At 47.0% G+C, this 19,832-nt stretch overlaps 1 protein-coding gene across 25 annotated transcripts in view, besides 10 other annotated features; it reads right to left on the bottom strand.

Annotated features, from left to right (window-relative positions):
* The window catches only part of CUX1 (cut like homeobox 1), a 467,952-nt gene that overhangs the window by 340,037 nt on the left and 108,083 nt on the right, over positions 1-19,832 (bottom strand). The window lies entirely within an intron of this gene.
* Positions 812-1,699: an enhancer, noted in NCBI's record as "H3K27ac-H3K4me1 hESC enhancer chr7:101585503-101586390 (GRCh37/hg19 assembly coordinates)". NCBI's record gives its function as "activates a minimal SCP1, AML or CMV promoter by ChIP-STARR-seq in primed H9 embryonic stem cells {active_cell/tissue: H9 hESC(primed)}" and the evidence as "EXISTENCE:reporter gene assay evidence [ECO:0000049][PMID:30033119]".
* Positions 1,719-2,013: a silencer, noted in NCBI's record as "tiled region #4286; HepG2 Repressive non-DNase unmatched - State 23:Low". NCBI's record gives its function as "represses a minimal TATA promoter and a strong SV40 promoter by Sharpr-MPRA in HepG2 cells {active_cell/tissue: HepG2}" and the evidence as "EXISTENCE:reporter gene assay evidence [ECO:0000049][PMID:27701403]".
* Positions 2,588-3,475: an enhancer, noted in NCBI's record as "H3K27ac-H3K4me1 hESC enhancer chr7:101583727-101584614 (GRCh37/hg19 assembly coordinates)". NCBI's record gives its function as "activates a minimal SCP1, AML or CMV promoter by ChIP-STARR-seq in naive H9 embryonic stem cells {active_cell/tissue: H9 hESC(naive)}" and the evidence as "EXISTENCE:reporter gene assay evidence [ECO:0000049][PMID:30033119]".
* Positions 2,719-3,013: a silencer, noted in NCBI's record as "tiled region #716; K562 Repressive non-DNase unmatched - State 14:Gen5'". NCBI's record gives its function as "represses a minimal TATA promoter and a strong SV40 promoter by Sharpr-MPRA in K562 cells {active_cell/tissue: K562}" and the evidence as "EXISTENCE:reporter gene assay evidence [ECO:0000049][PMID:27701403]".
* Positions 6,798-7,369: an enhancer, noted in NCBI's record as "OCT4-NANOG-H3K27ac-H3K4me1 hESC enhancer chr7:101579833-101580404 (GRCh37/hg19 assembly coordinates)". NCBI's record gives its function as "activates a minimal SCP1, AML or CMV promoter by ChIP-STARR-seq in naive H9 embryonic stem cells {active_cell/tissue: H9 hESC(naive)}" and the evidence as "EXISTENCE:reporter gene assay evidence [ECO:0000049][PMID:30033119]".
* Positions 7,370-7,941: an enhancer, noted in NCBI's record as "H3K27ac-H3K4me1 hESC enhancer chr7:101579261-101579832 (GRCh37/hg19 assembly coordinates)". NCBI's record gives its function as "activates a minimal SCP1, AML or CMV promoter by ChIP-STARR-seq in naive and primed H9 embryonic stem cells {active_cell/tissue: H9 hESC(naive and primed)}" and the evidence as "EXISTENCE:reporter gene assay evidence [ECO:0000049][PMID:30033119]".
* Positions 7,370-7,996: a biological region, named in NCBI's record as "H3K27ac-H3K4me1 hESC enhancer GRCh37_chr7:101579261-101579832".
* Positions 7,857-7,996: an enhancer, noted in NCBI's record as "active region_26412". NCBI's record gives its function as "activates an Ori minimal core promoter by ATAC-STARR-seq in GM12878 lymphoblastoid cells {active_cell/tissue: GM12878}" and the evidence as "EXISTENCE:reporter gene assay evidence [ECO:0000049][PMID:35858748]".
* Positions 7,942-8,513: an enhancer, noted in NCBI's record as "NANOG-H3K27ac-H3K4me1 hESC enhancer chr7:101578689-101579260 (GRCh37/hg19 assembly coordinates)". NCBI's record gives its function as "activates a minimal SCP1, AML or CMV promoter by ChIP-STARR-seq in naive and primed H9 embryonic stem cells {active_cell/tissue: H9 hESC(naive and primed)}" and the evidence as "EXISTENCE:reporter gene assay evidence [ECO:0000049][PMID:30033119]".
* Positions 8,514-9,085: an enhancer, noted in NCBI's record as "NANOG-H3K27ac-H3K4me1 hESC enhancer chr7:101578117-101578688 (GRCh37/hg19 assembly coordinates)". NCBI's record gives its function as "activates a minimal SCP1, AML or CMV promoter by ChIP-STARR-seq in naive H9 embryonic stem cells {active_cell/tissue: H9 hESC(naive)}" and the evidence as "EXISTENCE:reporter gene assay evidence [ECO:0000049][PMID:30033119]".

Genomic DNA, 19,832 nt, shown 5'->3' with positions numbered 1-19,832 from the left:
GTCTCAAACTCCTGGGCTCAAGGCGATCCTCCCACCTCGGCCTCTGTAAGTGCTGGGATTACAAGTGTCAGCCATGGCACTCGGCCTAATTCACTTATTTAACGATATTTATGGAATGGCTAAGTGGCAGGTAGTGTGCTGGGTATACAGCAGAGACCAATATTAGATCACGAGCCTCCACAAGCCAAAAGGTGCCAACGAGACTCATCAATGCCCCCATTTTTTTTTTTTTAAATTTTAAAGCCCAAAACTCATCCTATTAGGGGACACTGTTCCCAACCTACTTGTGGCCGCATGAGTCCTCTGACTCTCGGTATGTAAGCCGGGCCCCTCTGCATCCTGCATATGATATGTGATACTGAAAAGAGCCCATTTGAGAGCGAACACCAAGACTGCACCAAAGACGCTGAAAGTAGCACTGACGTCAGCCGCCGCCGCGCGGGAGAGCATCTGCCAGCTCGGGGTTTTAGATGAATTGGTCATTTTTCTTGAACTCAACAGAAGCACTGACCAGAGGCCGGGTGCAGTGGCTCACACCTGTAATCCCAGAACTTTGGGAGGCCACGGCGGGTGGATCACTTGAGCTCAGGAGTTCAAGACCAACCTGGCCAACATGGTGAAAACCCGTCTCTACTAAAAATACAAAAATTAGCCAGGCATGGTGGCGGGCACCTGTAATCCCAGCTACTCAGGAGGCTGAAGCAGGAGAATCTCTTGCACCAGGGAGGTGGAGGTTGCAGTGAGCCAAGATTGCACCACAGCACTCCAGCCTGGGTGACAGAGCGAGACTCCATCTCAAAAACAGAAAAAGAAAAAGTAAAAAAAAAAAAAAAAAAAAAAAAAGCACTGACCAGGATGGAGAGGAAAGTTAACATCCACTAGGTACCTGTGTGCATGGCGCTAAGCCACAACGAACATGGGTGTGGTCTCAGTTATTAATCACAGCTGTTCTAGGAAGGACAGATTCCCGTCCAAGCTGAATGGAGGTGCAGAGAAGGGAACTGATCTCCCAGCAGCCGATGGAACCAAGATCTGGGCCCAGGTCCGTGTGCAGCGAAGCCCATGCTGCTCCCACCACCCCAGGCACCAAGAGCTGGGGCAAAGGCTTGGAGCAGTCGGTGGAGGAGCTCAAGCTGCCCTCTGACCCAGAGTCTGGGAGGCCTGCGGTGGCTCACGCCTGTGATCCCAGTACTTTGGGAGGTCGACGCAGGGGGATCACTTGAGCCCAGGAGTGGTTTGAGACCAGCCTGGGGCAACACAGGGAAACCCTGTCTCTACAAATAATTTAAAGATTCACCGGGTGTGGTGGCAGGCATCTGTGGTCTCAGCTGCTAGGGAGGCTGAGGTGGGAGGATCGCTGAAGCCCAGGAGGTTGAAGCTGCAGTGAGCTGAGACCACACCACTGCACTCCAGCCTGGGCGACAGAGAAAGACCCTGTCTCAAAATCAACAAAATTTCTTTCTTAGCCAGGTTTTTTGGTCTGGAGTAGACACTGCCTAAAATGGAGATTGCTTGAAATAATACTGAATACAAGGTAAGATCGAAAAGACACACCTGCAGAAACTGGGCCTCTTGGAATGAGAATTCAAAAAAGACTTTTGTTCCATTTCACTTATTCTGTGAAAGCAAACCTATGACCCAATGTGTCTGCATTACAGACAGGCCGTTTCCCTGCTGGGAATTTTCCTGTCCTGGCTATGATACTCCACCCTGTTAGCTTTGGGAGTAGTCTTTTTCTCTCTTAGTCATGCTTTTCTGGATGCCCTCCAACCCTCGAGCTAAACCTGCAGTACCCTAAAAAGGTAGGTGAACAGTGCTTCTAGGATTTAAGCATCTTTCTCCACCTACTGGAACAGAAGCTGGGTACATTTCTACCCCAACTCATGCAAAAACAGGCCTGGGAAACAGTGTGTACTGGCATGTTTGATAACGTTGCAGTTTCACCTCCAGCTGAAAGGACTTAAAAACAGGGACAGAGAGAGGGGGAGGGAGAGAGAGAAACCTTTCCCTTGTGTCTGTGGTTTTAACAACTTGTTCTGAGCAGTTTCTGCTCTTTTCAGGTTTGCAATCAAGGCTGGAATTTAGCAATGCAAAATGCCCCTCATAACCCGTGCGTCCAAAGGCTTTCGTGGGGTAATTAAAAACACAGAAATTCTTCAAAGAATGTATCTGTTGACTAGTTAATATCATAAAGCCTTCGCTCCTGATCTGTGATCCCAGCCTGAAACGAGGCAGACGGAGTTCAGGAATGCCCCGACGTGAAAACTACCAGATGAGGGAAGAGAGGGATCCAGTCTCAGAATGGGGCTATCAAACTGCAGCTGCCAAACCACAATCTCAGCAAGAAAAGGAGATCCAGTAGCTTGAGGAAATTAATTACAAGAAATAGATTCCATTGGCATCATTCATTTTTCCAAGACTTTGCTTGCAGCACAAAACAAAGATGTGAGCCCTTTCTTCCATTTTCGTCTTTAAGATTCTCCAGGAACAGTTAGGAAAGCCAGGTATCCCTCAGAGACAATCCAGCTACCGCTAAGCAGACCCGCAAAGGAGGTCTCCCCATGCAGCGATGAAAGCCACTCCTGTGCAAGTTTTGGGGAAACTGCAGGTTGATCCTGGCAATTCACTAACTTTCCCTTCAAACTATGGCAAAAAGTAGGCCAGAGAGAGACTCCAGCATGGCTTCTGGGTCTCCCCCAACCCGCCCTCCTCCCAGTGAGTTCCCCAGGCAGCCTGTCAGGTCCGAGGCTCCATCAGGGCTCAGGTTGACGGGAACAGGCTGCCCGGCTGGCTGCGTCCATGGAAACAAGCTCAGATTGGCGACAACATGCCCCAGCTTTAAAAGAGCCACCTGCCTCAAGGAAGCCCGGCTCCCTGCCCTTTTCCTTCTGACTTTGCAAATTTACAGTATGCAAATAAACTGTGAGGAGCTCTTCACTACAAGAGAAATGCAGAGCCCAGGGAAGGGGCTGGCCTCGCTAATGGATTGCTGTGTGACTCTGAGCAAGTCACGGACCCTCTCTGGGCTTGAAGAACTGACAGGATGGTCTACTGATTGCCAAGACAGCTGTGCCAGCATTCCCACTGTGAGGCATCCTTGGGCTAGACAGGGGTCTGGAATCCCTCAGTGAACACGGGCACCACAGCATTTAATCAATCAGCCAAGCAACAGATGTGGACTGATCAATAACGTGCCCAACCAAGGATCTGGGAGGGTGGAAGTGCTGGTCTTACCTCCCCAGAGCTTACAATCTAATAAGAAAACACATTCCCTTGCAAGCTAAAGGACAAAGGAATTAAATGACAATATAAGAACTAGAACAATAAGAAAACACACACACACATATATATATATACACATATATATCAACATAAGAAAATACTAGAAGAGCGTCTTTAATTCAGAGATCGAAGGGAGGAGGACAGCTCTGGCCTCCAGGCAGAGCTGCACCCAGAAGGAATAACCCCTTATTCCTTCCATCTCACCTGTGCGCGCCCGCAGGCACCACAGCCTACCCTCCATCACAGGCACCCCCAGCGGGGGTCAGGGACTTCATGGAGCGTGTCTCTGGGTGAGCTTCTCTTGCCAACAACACTTACATCTTTTTTCCACTGGTGACACCAGATTGGAAACTGACCAGCTTTGCGAACATTAAAACCTCCTCTTTTTTTTTTTTTTCCTGAGACAGGGTCTCCCTCCGTCACCCAGGCTGGAGTGCAGTGGTGCAATCAGAGCTCACTTCATTCTCAACCTCCCGGGCTCAAGCAATCCTCCTGCCTCAGCCTCCTAAGTAGCTGGGACCACAGGCTTACACCACCATGCCCGGCTTTTTTTTTTTTTTTAGATGGAGTCTCGCTCTATTGCCCAGGCTGGAGTGCAGCGGTGCAATCTCGGCTCACTGCAACCTCCACCTCCCGGGTTCAAGCAATTCTCTGCCTCAGGCTCTCAAGTAGCTGGGATTACAGGTTCCCGCTACCATGCCTGGCTAATTTTTGTCTTTTTAGTAGAGATGGGGTTTCACCATGTCGGTCAGGCTGGTCTTGAACTCCTGACCTCCTGATCCACCCACCTTGGCCTCCCAAAGTGTGAGCTACCGCGCTCAGCCCCAATTTTTGTATTTTTTATAGACAGGGGTCTCACTATGTTGCCCCAGCTGGTCTCAAACTCCCAGGCTCAAGTGATCCTCCTGCCTCAGCCTCCCAAGCAGCTGGGACCACAGGCAACCACCACCAATAATTTTCGTATTTTTTTTATAGAGGTGGGGTTTCACTATGTTGCCCAGGCCAGTCTCAAACTCCTGGGCTCAAGCGATCCACCCGCCTCAGCCTCCCAAAGTACTGGGATTACAGGCATGAACCACTGCACCTGGCCCAAAACCTCCTTCTTTAAAAAAAGACTGCTCACATTCAGGATGTGAAACTGCAGAGTGGCTGTACAAGATCGTTCAGACGAGGGTTAGGTGTGGGGCTGTGCTTGGCTTTAAATGGCCCAGGGGACTGGATGTTGGACCTGTGACATAAGCACTGCCTGACCAGCCTTAAAAATCCCTCCATGCTGTGGTACATCCATACAATGGAATACTACTTGGCACTGACAGCGGCCACACTGTTGAACTGCAAATCCACTGCGCTAAGTGAAAGAAGCCAGACTCGAAGACTGCATATGGTATGATCCCTCTATGTAACACTCCAGAAAATACAAAATGATGCCAGCAAAAAACAGATAAGTGGTTACCATGGGCTGAGGGTGGGGGAAGGGACTGACTACATAGAGGCCTGGGAGAATAGGGGGGACAGTGGAACCATCATATATATATATATATATATATATATATATATATATATATATATATATATATATATGTATTTTTTTTTTTTTTGAGACAGAGTTTTGGTCTTGTTGCCCAGGCTGGACTGCAGTGGCACGATCTTGGCTCACTGCAACCTCCATCTCCCAGGTTCAAGCGATTCTCCTGCCTCAGCCTCCCAAGTAGCTGGGATTACAGACATACACCACCATGCCCAGCTAATTTTTGTGTTTTTAGTAGAGGCGAAGTATCACCATGTTGGCCAGGTTGGTCTCAAACTCCTGACCTCAAGTGATCTGCCCGCCTCAGCCTCCCAAAGTGCTGGGATTACCGGCATGAGCCATCACGCTCGGCTAATTTTTGTGTTTTGAGTAGAGACAGGGTTTTGCCATGTTGGCCAGGCTGGTCTCGAATTCCTGACCTCGGGTGATCTGCCAACCTCGGCCTCCCAAAGTGCTGGGATTACAGGTGTGAGCCACTGCACCCAGCCTGTCCTCTATCTTAATAGTGGTGGTGGCACATGACTATATGTGGTTGTCAAAATTCATCAAAGTGGACACCTGAAAAGGGTGAATCTTACTGAGTGTAAATCTGACTTTTTAAAAAAATCTCTTCCCCCAGTGAAGAACTGATTGACACCAATATCTCCAGGCCAGTAGATGAGGATGAAATGTAACCAAAAACAGGCTCCAAACATGGTGGATATCGGCCAGGCACAGTGGCTCATGCCTGTAACTACAGCACTTTGGGAGGCTGACACAGGAAGATCATTTGAGCCCCAGAGTTTGAGAGACCAACCTGGGCAACATAGCGAGACCCTGTCTCTGCAAAAAATTAGCTGGGTGTGGTGGCACACGCCTGTGGTCCCAGCTACCCAGCAGACTGAGATGGAAGGATCGCTTGAACCTGGGAGGTTGAGGCTGCAGTGAGCTGTGATCACGTCACTGCATTCCAGCCTGAGTGACAGAGTGAGACTGTCTCAAAAAAAAAAAAAAATACACACACCAAAAAACATGGATATCAACCTTTTGTACTGACTGATATCATTAAGGCCTCATAAGCAGCTAGATCCAAATATTTACTGTCATCTGTAATTCAATTATTCACCCTTCTCCTGGCTTTTCTGTGAGGAGGGAAGGGCAAGAGTGTGGGTAGAACAGATGAGTTAACAGAATCTTCTCAACGTTAAAGACTGTCTACTTTGATTTATAAAAATCTTTGGTGTCTGCTGAACTCACATTTGCTAGAAAATGCTGGTGGTGAAGTGAGTAAGCAGAAATCTACTAATATTTATATCATTAGGCTGGGCGCGGTGGCTCTCGCCTGTAATCCCAGCACTTTGGGAGGCCAAGGCGGGTGGATCACTTGAGCTCAGGAGTTCGAGACCACCCTGGCCAACATGATGAAACCCCGTCTCTACTAAAAATACAAAAAAATTAGCTGGGCATGGTGGCACGTACCTGTAGTCCCAGCTACTCGGGAGGCTAAGGCAGGAGAATTGCTTGAACCTGGGAGGCAGGGGTTGCAATGGGCCAAGATCGTGCTACTGCACTGCAGCCTGGGAGACAGAGCGAGACTCTGTCTCAATTAAAAAAAAAAAAAAAGACTTGATTTTGATTTATCCCTTTTCCCTCATTCTGAAGGCCCCCCACAACCTCCTCACACCCCACTTCCAGGGACTCGGACATGTGAATAACCCTGGCCTATGCCAAAGCTTGGGCGATCTTTGCTCAGAAATAATCCTATGGCCACCAGGTTCTGCCTCTATCTCTGTCATGTGCTATGATGACCTGGAGATGGCTTTTAGGTCTAAACATTGATGCTAAGATTCATTTCCACCACCTGAGCCCCTCCAGGAGCTAATGTCTTTCACAGGGGGAGGAGCTGGGGGCTGGGGTGCTGACATCCCGGTACAGGGTCTTCAGGGGGCCACGCAGCACACACTCCCCAGGCATCTACTTTGTGACAGAGACAGAGACATGCAAACACAGTCCCGGCAGGGGACACATCCTCAATCAGCATCTGGAGGAAGGGACACAGAGGGAGGCCATGGGAGGGGGCCCAAACTGGCCTCAGAGTAAGCATTCCAGGAGCTGGTTCTAAATGCAAGTCCCCAGGCCCTTCCCCGGTGACTGTGTCTCACTAAGTCTAGGGTGGGGCCCAGGGACAGTATTTTTAACAAGCATACACACACACCCAGGAGGTTTTTATGATTAGCCATGTTAGGAAAACGCTGACACGGGGGAGCTCCTGCGTGCCTGGAAACGAAGCTGCTTGCTTAACCATTATGGTTCTGAGAGCTGGGAACCCTGATTGCATGATCTCCACCTAGCCGGTCCCACGTGGCCAGGGCAGAAAGCAAAACCCCAAAGCGAGGAGGCCGGTGGGGATGGCAGGGCTGGCGCCTGGGCAGTTTCCTCCGCTGGCCCCCTGCCACCCTCCGCACAAACACAGCCCGGCTGCCGCCTCCAATCCAGACCACCCACGGCAGCCGGGCATGATGGTCGCCGGGCTTTCCTCTCTTCTGTCCCCTGCACTTAGCCCCCGCTCACCCTTGAAGGATAACCTTTTCTCCTATGTATCCGGGAAAACTCCCAGGGGATCCTGCCCTAACTTCCTCCCCGGGGTTCCCATCTCCCTGAGTTCCCTCCTGTCTGCTCGCCAGCCCGAGTGCCGGATCCCATCTCCTCCCAAACTCTGTGACCTTCATCTCGCTCTGGAAATGACGTTCGTGCCTCTCTTGGAATGCTCTCTTTCTCCCCACCCCCGTCACACCTGAAAACAAGCTTGGGGCTCCCCCTTGTCAGGATGGGGAAGTCCATACCTTAACCTGGTCCATCTACAGATGTACCCGCCCTCCTCCCTCCTCCCTCCTCCCATCCTTCTCAGCCAAGTGCTTTCAAAACCCACTGTCTCTATGCCCCAGTTCCACAGTCAGAATCCTCCACCTGCATCTCCTTGACAGTGTTTTCCTGCCCTGTAGTTTAACATCTGTCTCCACTAGAATGTAAGCACCGCGAGGGCAGGGACCTTGGCCTTCTGCTCACTGCTGCAGCCTCAGGGCCTGCAACTGCCTGGCACACAGCTGGTCCACAACAGATCGTTGTTGAATAAGACATAACCACCGCTTCCTTGTTTTAAGAGCGTGTTTCTCGCAGAGTCCTCTAAAACAGTGTCTCAGCTGTTCCGGCTCCACCTCTGTCCCCAAACGTCCATCTGCTGCCAGGCTGTAGAGTGTAACTTCGGCTGGAAATGTGAGCCTGGCCATGTGACTCCCAAGTGTGCACCCTCTGACACTTGGCAAAGCCTCAGACAGAGTGAAGTCCAAGCTTCACTTGGCCTGAGCCCCAGCATCGTGTGCTGTCCCCAACACCACCCCAGCCTCCTCACGCCTCGTGACAGCCCCACACCATTGCCACACCAGGTCCGGGTTCCTACACATCCCCAGAGCCCTGTCTCTAGCTCCAAACATCTGCTGGGTGCTGCCCTCCCAAGAGTTTCATTTACTACTTTAGAACAAAATGGTGGATACCATGCCAACCTCCCCAGCTGGGCCAGGAGTGCCCGGAGAAGTGCAGGGCACCCACAGCAGATGTGCCAGCATGTCCGATGGCAGGACACAGAGCTGGGAAAGCGTGGACGGAGCCAGGCCTTGTCCATTCATGAATGGCAGTCTCTTTCACTCACGTCCGTGTGAAAAGACCACCAAACAGGCTTTGTGTGAGCAATAAAGCTGTTTATTTCACCTGGGTGCAGGTGGGCTGAGTCTGAAAAGAGAGTCAGCGAAGGGAGAAAGGGGTGGGGCCGTTTTATAGGATTTGGGTAGGTAAAGGAAAATTACAGTCAAAAGGGGTTTGTTCTCTGGCGGGCAGAGTGGGGGTCACAAGGTGCTCAGTAGGGGAGCTTTTGAGCCAGGATGAGCCAGGAGAAGGAATTTCACAAGATAATGTCATCAGTTAAGGCAGGAACAGGCCATTTTCACTTCTTTTGTGGTGGAATGTCATCAGTAAAGGCAGGAACCGGCCATCTGGATGTGTACGTGCAGGTCACAGGGGATATGATGGCTTAGCTTGGGCTCAGAGGCCTGACAGTCTCCAAGTCGGATCTGTCCCAGCAGCTGTCTCACAGATCCCCTCCATCCACTCCTATACGTGGACCCTTCCTCCTCCTGCTCCTCACCCCGGGCAATGCTGTTTTCACCTCTACTCCTAGAGAACACGGCAAACCCAACTGTACTTTGGCCAGAACAGACTTGAAAAAAACCCGAAAGTTTACTTTGGAAGGGAGTTAATAATAAAGGCTGGAAGGCATCTTCAAGGCGATAAACACCTCCTTTTTCCCTTCTCCCAGCCTTGGCATGGCACTGTCCCCGGGGGAAGCGCTTTCTGGGACACAAAACTGAAAGCCTCATGACAAGAGCCAGGGAGCCCAGAAACTGGGAAGGAGGAAGAGGACAGGACGTGGACGGAGCGGGCAACTTCATGAAGAGCCATAAAATGTGTTTCTCGTCTACCAAAAGCTGCAAAACCCTTTCTTTAACTCATGAGAGGCTCGGGGCTGAGAGCTGGGCTTTTAAAAGTCAGATTCGTGAAACCCTGAACATTGCCAAGAAGAAGGAACAATAATTCCTCCACCTCAAAGTTTCTAGAAACAAACACAGAAATAGAAGAGGCACTTCTTTGAATCCAAACTAAATTATTCTGTTAAGTATTGAAGGTTGTCAGAGAGATACAACCAGAATAAACATCTCTGATAATGGGAGCGCATTATAGTGAAAAGGTGGCAACTTTTTAAAACATCGACTATGCTATCTCTAAAATAAACAAAAAGAAGACAAAATTCTCATGACTTTTAGGCTCTAATTTAGGTAGAAAGGAAGTCAGAGAGAGATTTTCAAATTTATACTGTACAACTTGACCTTTAGATCATCGTTACAGTGTGATGAATTCTGAATTTCTGTTCACAAACCTCCTGACAACTGTATTAAGGTTCCATAGGATAGAAACAACTTCTCTTCTGATTAACCACAGGGATTTCAACAGGCTGTGATACACATTTAACATGGAAAACATTATTAGCCAGCTGATGGGGGTGAGGGGAAGAGAAAATGATCAAACAAAGCAAACTTCCTCAGCACGCCATACATGGTCTTTCCGGCTTTTAAAATATCCAAACATCGCTTTTTAAACTTTGATGATAGAAAACAGAAAGAACTTTTTTTTTCATCATTTCAAAGGAAAGCGCTACAAGTTTTTCTAAATTAGGGCTAAAAGACAGAATGGCTATTTTTAAATGTCTGGTTAAAAATTAGAAAGTCTCAAAGGTAAGCCACAAGTATGCGAACAAACCAAGAACACTGCTATTTCTGTTCAAGTACCAAAGACTGCAGTAAATGAATGAATGTATTCATCTTCACTTTATGATCAAAACGGTCAACGGGAGGTAAGAAATCGAAAACCTACTAAAACAGAAATGTTTATTTCCTATACAACATGACACCTACTGAAAATTCTGTAGAAATTCATCTGATCTTAATAGTAGAAGCATTTTCTTCGGCCAGTTCTAATTTTGAAAAAAAGAAAGAAAAGCTATAATAAAGTCCATTAAGAAATCTTAATCTCCATTAAGACAATGAATAATGTGAGAATATGGACTTAATAGTGTTTGTCTAGGAAAAAGGTAAATAGCTAGCTCTGAATTCTTTTTTAAAAATCTAATTCTTTTTTGTTGTTGTTGTTAAAAAAGGAAAATGTCCACTTAGTATAAATACTAACAAAGGCTCTGTATTTTTTTTAAACTCCTCCAAATCCCTGGAATAATGCCTGCCAACTAAAACACCTACTATGAATTTAGTAATGGGTTATGCAAACATAAATTATAAGGCCAGACATTTTAAAAGGAAAAAAAAAAGGTGATTTATCGAGGCACTGGAGACACGGTAGGAGAGAAGCAATATTTCAATTTTCCACATATTCCTCAACACTACATGTGTTCATGCAAAAAGAATTTTAAAATAAAAATGACTCTCGGCTCTTCTGGTTCTAATCAGTTCATTTACTTGAAAAGGGTTATCAACGAATTCATTTCCCACACTTATAATTGAGAAAATTAATATAAAGCCAAACATTTTATCAAGTTTCAAGTATGAATGAAAAGCGTGTCTCACGATCTGGTTTCAGTAAAAAGAAAAATACAAATATCACCTCTCCTTAGAGTGGCAAAAAGAGTTAAACCACATGTTCTGTTCTTAAATTATTAGCCCTAGAACCTACCCTGATCCTGTTTTTTACTTTAATTTCTTTATTTCTATTCACACATCACTTTTCCTTGTCTCAATTCACTGTTAAGTGAAACAGTATTTTTTCTTGATGGCGGCAAAGCAATCATTTAAATACGTATGAAATACCTTTCGTGGGTTGTTGATTTATAAACAAAATAAATGAAAATATACTTGTCTGCAGCTTTTAATTCAAGGAAACAGAAGCTATCACCTTTCCCCGAGCACACATCAACCAGGCCGAAATCTTCATTTTTCTTCACTTTGCCAGTGGCTGATGGTTTCACAAATGGTCATCTTCAAAAGCACATGTAACTGAACGAGCTGATCTCAAGAAAAGGCTTGAAAATGCTGCGCTCGTAAGCGATGCACGTTTTAAAATGCAAAAGTGCAAAAGAACATCTCTGCGCGTATTCCTGGTGCTGTGAATTCCTCCCTGGAGAAGGCTAATTTGAACACACACGCTTGCATGCGATATGGGTTCCTGGCACTTTGATTATGTGAACACACCTGACCCCAGGGAAATAGGCTGACGCCGGCCCCATATTTCAGACAAACCAAACAGCCAATAGACAGTAATGGCTTTAAGCTACTGATGGCCCGGGCCAAAAATGAAGCCGCACTTAATCTTCTGAAGGAAACTGTCAATGTTAGGAGGCCCAGGGCCGACATTTCCCTCGATCTTAATCACAGCCACCTATGATAACAGAGTGAGGTTTATTTTTATGCCTGGCTCCAGACACAATGATCAATCCTTCAATTTTGACGATTTTGTATCCCACACAATGAACCAGAGTAAGTGAAGTCCATGTAGGTAGTTTCCGTGGATCCCTCAAGTAAAATATAGAGAATGAAATTCACCTATGAATGAAATCTAAAACAATCAATCAAAACTTGAAAATGCCTTCTAAAGCCTCTCCAAATCTACAAATTTAATGAGATTCCAATAAAAGCCAATTTAAAATTTCCATCTAAAAAATAAGAATTCCTGAGGGGTACGGTAGCTCACACCTATAATCCCAGCACTTTGGGAGGGACTGAGCCCAGGAGTTTGAGACCAGCGTGCGTAACATAGTGAGAACCCCTCCCTACAACAAATACAAAAATCAGTCAGACACCATGGTGCATGCCTGTAGCCCCAGCTACTTGGGAGGCTGAAGTGAGGATCGCTTGAGCCCGGAAGGCAGAGGTTGCAGTGAGCTGAGATTGTGCCATTGCACTCCAGCCTGGGCGACAGAGTGAGACTCTGTCTCAAAAAAAACCTTCAGGCAGCTTTGCCACCTGTGGGCCTAGGCAAGTTACTCCTCCTCTCTGGGCCTCAGTTTCCCTCTCTTTGAAACAGAAATAAACACTGTACCTGTTTCGTAGGGATCCTGTGAGTGTTAAGTTAGTTAAATGCCTTTCCAGTGTTTAGAATAGTACTGGATATGCAGTAAGTGCTCACTAAATATCAGCTGCCATTATAAGCTACGACGGCTGTGTCCCTGAAGTTACTGAGCCCTCACAACAGTCTTCCTGGTTTACCCCATTCCACACACAATGGGACTGCCAGGAATATTTGCTGCACACATGAATGAATTCTGGGTAGGAAAACTCCAAGAGGCAGAGGAGGTGATGCCTTTTAAGAAGAAAGGGATGTGCCTAAGTCTTGGGCCCACAGGTAAGATCAATAGGAATAAGGACACCTATGGAAAAGGGACGAGTCTCTTGTTGCAAAATGTGTGGCTCTCAGCCACACAGAACCTCGGAGTCTCGCTCTGAAATCCAGGCTGGAGTGCAGTGGCGTGATCTCGGCTCACTGCAATCTCCGCCTCCCAGGTTCAAGTGATTCTCCGTCTCAGCCTCCTGAATAGCTGAGATTACAGGTGCACTCCACCACACCCGGCTAATTTTTGTATTTTTAGTAGAGACGGGGTTTCGCCATGTTGGCCAGGCTGGTCTCGAACTCCCAGCCTCAAGTGACCCGTCCGCCTCAGCCTCCCAAAGTGCTGGGATTACAGGCATGAGCCACCATGCTCAGCACCAACACCTCCTTTCTTAGACTGAACAACAGAGAGGTCATGGCTTGCTCAGATCTTGCATTCATTAAGTGGCCAAGTCAGAATCACAATCTAAGCTTCCAGATCCAATTATATACTCCTTTAAGGACACCAACTATATAACACAACATCTTCTTAAAATAAAGGGCCACAAACAAAATTACAAGACTCTGCATAACAGGCCAGTCATGCTCCTCGTAAACTCACTTTTATGCCACTCACATTTGCAAGTTAAAATGAAAAGCCAATGTTAGTCAATAACATGCTCAGTGACTAGTCCCACCCACACCACACGCGCTCCATCCCCCTAGCCAAAGAAAGAAGAAAACGAAGACAGCAAGTATCAGAGTTAGCATGGCTTGGTATCCAATTGTCATTTTCTTGACTGACATAATCTCAAAGTGGAAGGGGAGATTTTCCCACGCTTTGGCTTATAATCAATTCCGTAAGTTAAGAAGGCTTTCACAGGCCAATGGCAAATTTTAGGCTATAACGATATGTTCCTTCCTAAGTACCCTCCTAGAAAACATTCCCCCTGACATATAGAATCCTTTAAATGAGTATGCCACTTCAAAGAAATACTCAAAAGCAATTTTAAAAAAAATCTAATAGAAGAGGAATTGCTAATGGTTAAGTGACTAAAAATTTGGCTTCTGGGCCAGGCGTGGTGACGCATGCCTGTAATCCCAGCACTTTGGGAGGCCAAGGCAGGTGAGTCACCTGAGGTGAAGAGATCAAGACCAGCCTAGCCAACATGGTGAAACCCCATCTGTACTAAAAACACAAAAATTAGCCGGGCATGGTGGTTGGTGCCTGTAATCCCAGCTACTTGGGAGGCTGAGGTAGGAGAATCGCTTGAACCCGGGAGGTAGAAGTTGCAGTGAGCCGAGATCAGGCCACTGTACTCCAGCCTGGGTGACAAGAACAAAAATCTGTCTCAAAAAAAGAAAAAAAATTGGCTTCTGGAACCCTAAGGAGGCAGGGTGTTCAGGGGATTATATGGCCTCATTCCCAGGAGTCTGTCTGCCCGGGAAAATCCTGGTAGGTGGGTGGGTGGCTTACGCTTCATTAAGTGGCACCGATGATACTTAGCTCCCAGGGTGACTTCCAGGGGCAGAGAAATGATGGTCATGCACTTAGCATAATGCCTGACTCCTAGCAAGTACTCAATAAATATTAATAACAGCTCACCACGATTTCAACCAAATCATATGGCTTTCACATTTAGCCGTTACACCTTTAAAATCATGCTCAACAAAGTTGTTTGCTGAGAAGAGGCAGAGAGTGCTTTTCTGTGCTGAAGTTATTATTAAATCCTACACAGAATGACGTTCTCCATTCAGAATGCATTTCAGTTGAGGTTATTGACCAGAAAGACAAGTTATGGGCTACTCTCAAAGAATAGCTTCAAAAAAGAAAGTCCAGCAGCAAACATTTCCACTCTATGAACAGTGAAACTAATGCAAAAGGAGAGAAAATTACTCTCTAGACACATATGGAAGAAGGCAAGTTTTAATTTTACTGTATCTGTTCAAGTCCGCAGTAGAAACTAGGGTCTACCCTAGGCTTTAATAATTTTTTTAAGTGTTCGTTTATAGCTTTATTTTATTTTTATTTATTTTGAGACGGAGTCTCACTCTGTAGCCTAGGCTGGAGTGCAGTGGCACGATCTTGGCTTACTGCAACCCCCATCTCCTGGGTTCAAGCGATTCTCCTGCCTCAAACTCCTGAGCTCAAGTGATCCGCCAGCCTCAGCCTCCCAAAGTGCTGGGATTCTAGGTGTGAGCCACTGCCCTCCGTCACATTTATAACTTTAAAGTCCATTTGTGGCCGGGTGCAGTGGCTCACGCCTGTAATCTCAGCACTTTGGGAGGCCGAGGCGGGTGGATCACGAGGTCAGGAGATCGAGACCATCCCGGCTAAAACGGTGAAACCCCGTCTCTACTAAAAATACAAAAAATTAGCCGGGCGTAGTGGCGGGCGCCTGTAGTCCCAGCTACTTGGGAGGCTGAGGCAGGAGAATGGCATGAACCCGGGAGGCGGAGCTTGCAGTGAGCCGAGATCGCGCCCCTGCACTCCAGCCTGGGTGACAGAGCGAGACTCCGTCTCAAAAAAAAAAAAAGTCCATTTGTGAGGCCGGGTGTGGTGGCTCACACCTAGAATCCCAGCACTTTGGGAGGCCGAGGCGGGCAGATCACAAGGTCAGGAATTTGAGACCAACCTGGCCAACATAGTGAAACCCCATCTAAAAATACAAAAATTAGCCAGGCGTGGTGGCAGGTGCCTGTAGTCCCAGCTACTTGGGAGGTTGAGGCAGGAGAATCACTTGAACCTGGGAGGCAGAGGTTGCAGTGAGCCAAGATCGCGCCACTGCACTCCAGCCTGGGTGACAGAGGGAGACTCCATCTCAAAAAAAAAAAAAGAAAAAAGAAAAAAAAAAGGCCATTTGTGAACACAATTTCTCAAAAGAGTAGATTTTGGTAACATGAACACAATAAGCCATTTATTGACCTTCTACTTGGTGCCTGGGTTGTTCTGAATCCCTATAAGAGTTCATCCAGCCCATAATGACTCCGAGGTCGTTATCATTCCTATTTTTTGAGATAAGAAAATAGAGGCTTAGACGTGATAGAACGCAGCATGTTTTTGACTAAAATTCCAGGGCACATGAATCTAATGACAGTGCTTCCCTTTTGACAGTTATTAAACTCTCAGATAATGCGTCTTTTATACTTAAAATAGCCCTGTAAAAACGGCTGGACACATGAAGGAAGCGACACATGGCTCTCAGGAAGGAAAGGGGATGCCGGCCTTGTTGACGTTTCAGCAAGGGGCGGGGGCAGACAGACAAAGCGGCCGTCCTGAGATGCTCCCGGAAGGAAAGCAGGGCCTGCGGGGTCTTCAGATGCCACCCGCCGCCCCTGGGCCAAGCCCCGCAACAGCTCTGACCACTTCCAGTGACAAGGAACAGAGCAACTGGGAGATTAGCTCCTCGTTAATTACCTAAGAATTGCCTAAGAATTAATTACCGAAGAATTACCTAAGAATTTCTGGGCCTTTGGCCCAGAAAACAAACAAACAAAATAAGGTCTCTTTGAAACTCCACAATTCATTGACTAATTTTGTGTGTGTGTTTTTGTTTTTTTTGAAGATAGGGTCTTGCTCTGCCGCCCAGGCTGGGGTGCAGTGACGCAATCATAGCTCACTGCAGTCTTGAACTCCTGGGCTCAAGGGATCCTCCTACCTCAGCCTCCTGAATTACAGGTATGCACCACCACGCCCGGCTAATTTCTTCATTTTTTTGTAGAGATGGGGTCTCGCTATGTTGCCCCAGCTGGTCTCAAACTCCTGGTCTCAAGCAGTCCTCCCACCTCAGCCTCCAAAGTGCTGGGATTACAGAAATGAGCTACCGCACTTGGCCAACTGAATTTTCTAATGCCCAGATTAAATAGCATCCCTGGTCTTAGAAAGCAGAGAGACTGAATCTGACGCTTCAAAGTAAGTGAGTGGTTACAGCCAAGATGATCAGGGCTTTACATGGAAGAAATGTGGGGGACTCCACTGCTAACAGCTTGCCAAAATTAATCAATGGTTATTTCAAAATTTGCACTAAAGCCTCCGTGTGTGTGTGTGTGTGTGTGTGTGTGTGTTGTGTTGACAGGTGATACAAAAAGTCATTTTGCATTCTTAAGATCAAAACACGTTCTCTGACTCCCCAAAGTACCTTCGCCCATCCTTGATCACTCACTGCCATCTTGTTCTGTCTGAGCTCTTACCGCCACCTGAAATTATCTTGTGCATCATTTGTTTACTTGGCCACTGCCAGATCTCTGTGAGATCTGGAATCTTCTCCCTCCATCCCTGCTGTATCTGACTGCCCCTGGCCCTAGAAAAGGGCTCAGGACTACTTGTAAAAGAAAGCAAGGAAGGAAAGAAGAGAGGAGGGTGTTTGTTGAGCACCTACTATATGCTCTGTGCATCTGAATTCATTTCACCTCCTGGGTGAAATGGGATAGCACCAATTCTTCCTGCTTATACATAAGGGGACCAAGTCTTAGAACAGTTTTTGACCTTGCTCAAGGTCACTGCACGTCACCACTTACTAGTTATGCGTTCTACTCCTGGCCTGAGACTGGACATTCAGCCTCCAGGACCCCTTGAAGTAGGCAGGGTATGTTTTTTGCAGACGAAGAAACTGGGGTTAAGTTTCTGTCACAGTGCCATGGAGGTCACAATACTATTAATGCTGTTGGAGCAAATGAAACCAGGGCTTGACTAGCATTCAATGTCCCTGGGCCCAGGCAACCTCCTCTTCCCTACAGGCCCCTGCTGGTGCCCTCCAGACCATGCGGCAAAGTCTTGCTGGGATGTAGGGGGATAATGCAGCCACCTTCCCTGACTGGGGCCCGAATTAGGTTCAAATTGCCTTCATTACTGGTCCCACTCAAGGCACCTCTTCTCCCCTAGAGACCCAAAAGAAAGAAAATAATGTCTTGGGTTGATAAACTGGCTTAAAGGGTTTAATTGGTAACAGTTAAAAGTTCACTTTTAATTTTTAAACTTTTTCTAGTTAAAGGCTTATTATAACTTAACAGTAGGTGATTCTAGAATGATTAAACACACAAGTTGATTACTGGGGTTTTCTCATTTTGCCAAATCCTGGAGTAGACTTTTTAAAACCAAACTGCCCCCTGCAAAAATGAAAATTCACAAGATACTTTTCTGTGGGGAGTTTCTTTAGAGGATGAGAGAACAACTGAATAAGAAATCTCTTCGGGGGTTTCTGACACCCCCATGAAGAGAGGAATTCTTTTTTAATTTAGTTTAGGTTTTTTGTTTGTTTGTTTGTTTGTTTGTTTTGAGACGGGGGTTATAACTCTGTCACCCACATTGGAGTGCAGTGGTGCAATCATGGCTCACTGAAGCCTCAATCTCCTGCTAGACTCAAGCGACCCTCCTACCTCAGCCTTCTGAGTAGCTGGGACCATAGGTACGCACCACCACTCCCAGCTAATATTTCTATTTTTCTGTAGGGGTGAGGTCTCACTATATTGCCCAGGCTGGTCTCCAACTCCTGAGCAAAAGCAATCCATCTGCCTCAGCCTCCCAAAGTGCTGGGATTATAAGCGTGAGCTACTGCACCTGGCTGAATTTTTTTTTTAAATAACAGCTTTATTGATGTATAATTTATATACCATACAACTCACCCATTTAAAGTACACAGTTCAGTGGCATTTGGCATATTCAAAGTTGTGCAAGTATCACCACTGTCTTATTCTAGGACATTTTTATATTCCAAAAAGAAACCTCATACCAACTATCAGTCATTCCTCATTCCTCTATCCCCTCACCCCTGGGGGTTTCTATCTCTATAGAAATCTACTTTTGGCCAGGCACTGTGCCTCATGCCTGTAATCCCAACACTTTAGGAGGCCGAGGCAGGTGGATCATTTGAGGCCAGGAGTTTGAGACCAACCTGGCCAACATGGTGAAACCCCATCTCTATGAAAAATACAAAAAAATTATCTGGGCACAGTGGCACATGCCTGTAGTCCCAGCTATTTGGGAGGCTGAGGCAGGAGAATTGCTGGAGCCTGGGAGGCAGAGGTTTCAGTGAGCCGAGATCGAGCCACTGTACTCCAACCCGGGTGACGGAGTGGAATTCTAGCTCAAAAAAAGGCCCCATTGTGTCACATCAGGGCTGTGGGCCTTCAATGAAGCCAACTCAATGGGCTCAACGTGATGAAAGGAAAATGAGGCTGGGCTTTTCACTTTTCTGTGTGCAGTGGTTTTAGGGTCTAATGAGGAGTAAAACAAGATTTGTTGATAACAGAGAAGAGTTGAGAGTCCAGTGGGTAACACTGACATATCAAGGAGTAGCCGATGATGCCTGGATGCTGTTTCATGTTTAGAAAGCATCAAAGGCCAGGTGTGGTGGCTCACGCCGGTAATCCCAACATTTTGGGAGGCTGAGGTGGGAGGATCGCTTGAGCCCAGGAGTTCGAGATCAGCCCGGGCAACAAAGTGAGACCCCCATCTCTACAAAAAATAAAAAATAAAAAAAAATAACCAGGTGTGGTGGTGCACGCCTGTAGTCCCAGCTACTCGGGAGGCTGAGGTGGGAGGATCATTTGAGGCTGGGAGGTTGAGGCTGCAGTGAGCTGAGATCATGCCACTGCTCTCCAGCCTGGGCCACAGAGCAAGACCCTGTCTCCAAAAAGAAAAAAAAAAAAAAGGAAAAAAGTAATTGGGATGATATGTGACTTTGCTAAATCCTCACGTCAATGCCAAGATGGGGTTACAACGATCACCCTCACTTCACCACCTGACTCGCCCAGGGTCCTGGGGGGTGTGCAGGGCCATGGAGCCCTGGTGACTATCTCAGGGCAGCCTGTGCACCACGTGTCCACTGGAGTCGCAACTTTATTTTTAAGTGACTCTCTTTTTCCAGGCTGAGTCACTCTGGTGGTGTCTATATAAAGGCTGTCGAGGCAGTGACTAAATGCGTTTGGGCCCAGGCCACAACTATATATTACTACCCTCCACTCCCTCACCCATCCTGCTAGCTCCTTTTCTCACCGAGAGTGAAAAACGAATCATAAAAGTTCACAGCATCTTCCCATCCTCTGTCCTCCTCCCCATGGCAGAGATAGCATCAGGTGCGTGGCTTCCTGGCTTACCCCGCACACAGTGCATCCTGATCAATAA

This window comes from Homo sapiens, chromosome 7 (assembly GCF_000001405.40).
Source record: "Homo sapiens chromosome 7, GRCh38.p14 Primary Assembly".
Taxonomy (NCBI): Eukaryota; Metazoa; Chordata; class Mammalia; order Primates; family Hominidae; genus Homo; species Homo sapiens.
Note: the sequence above shows the minus strand (reverse complement) of the source record. Positions and strands in the feature narration are given on the sequence as shown.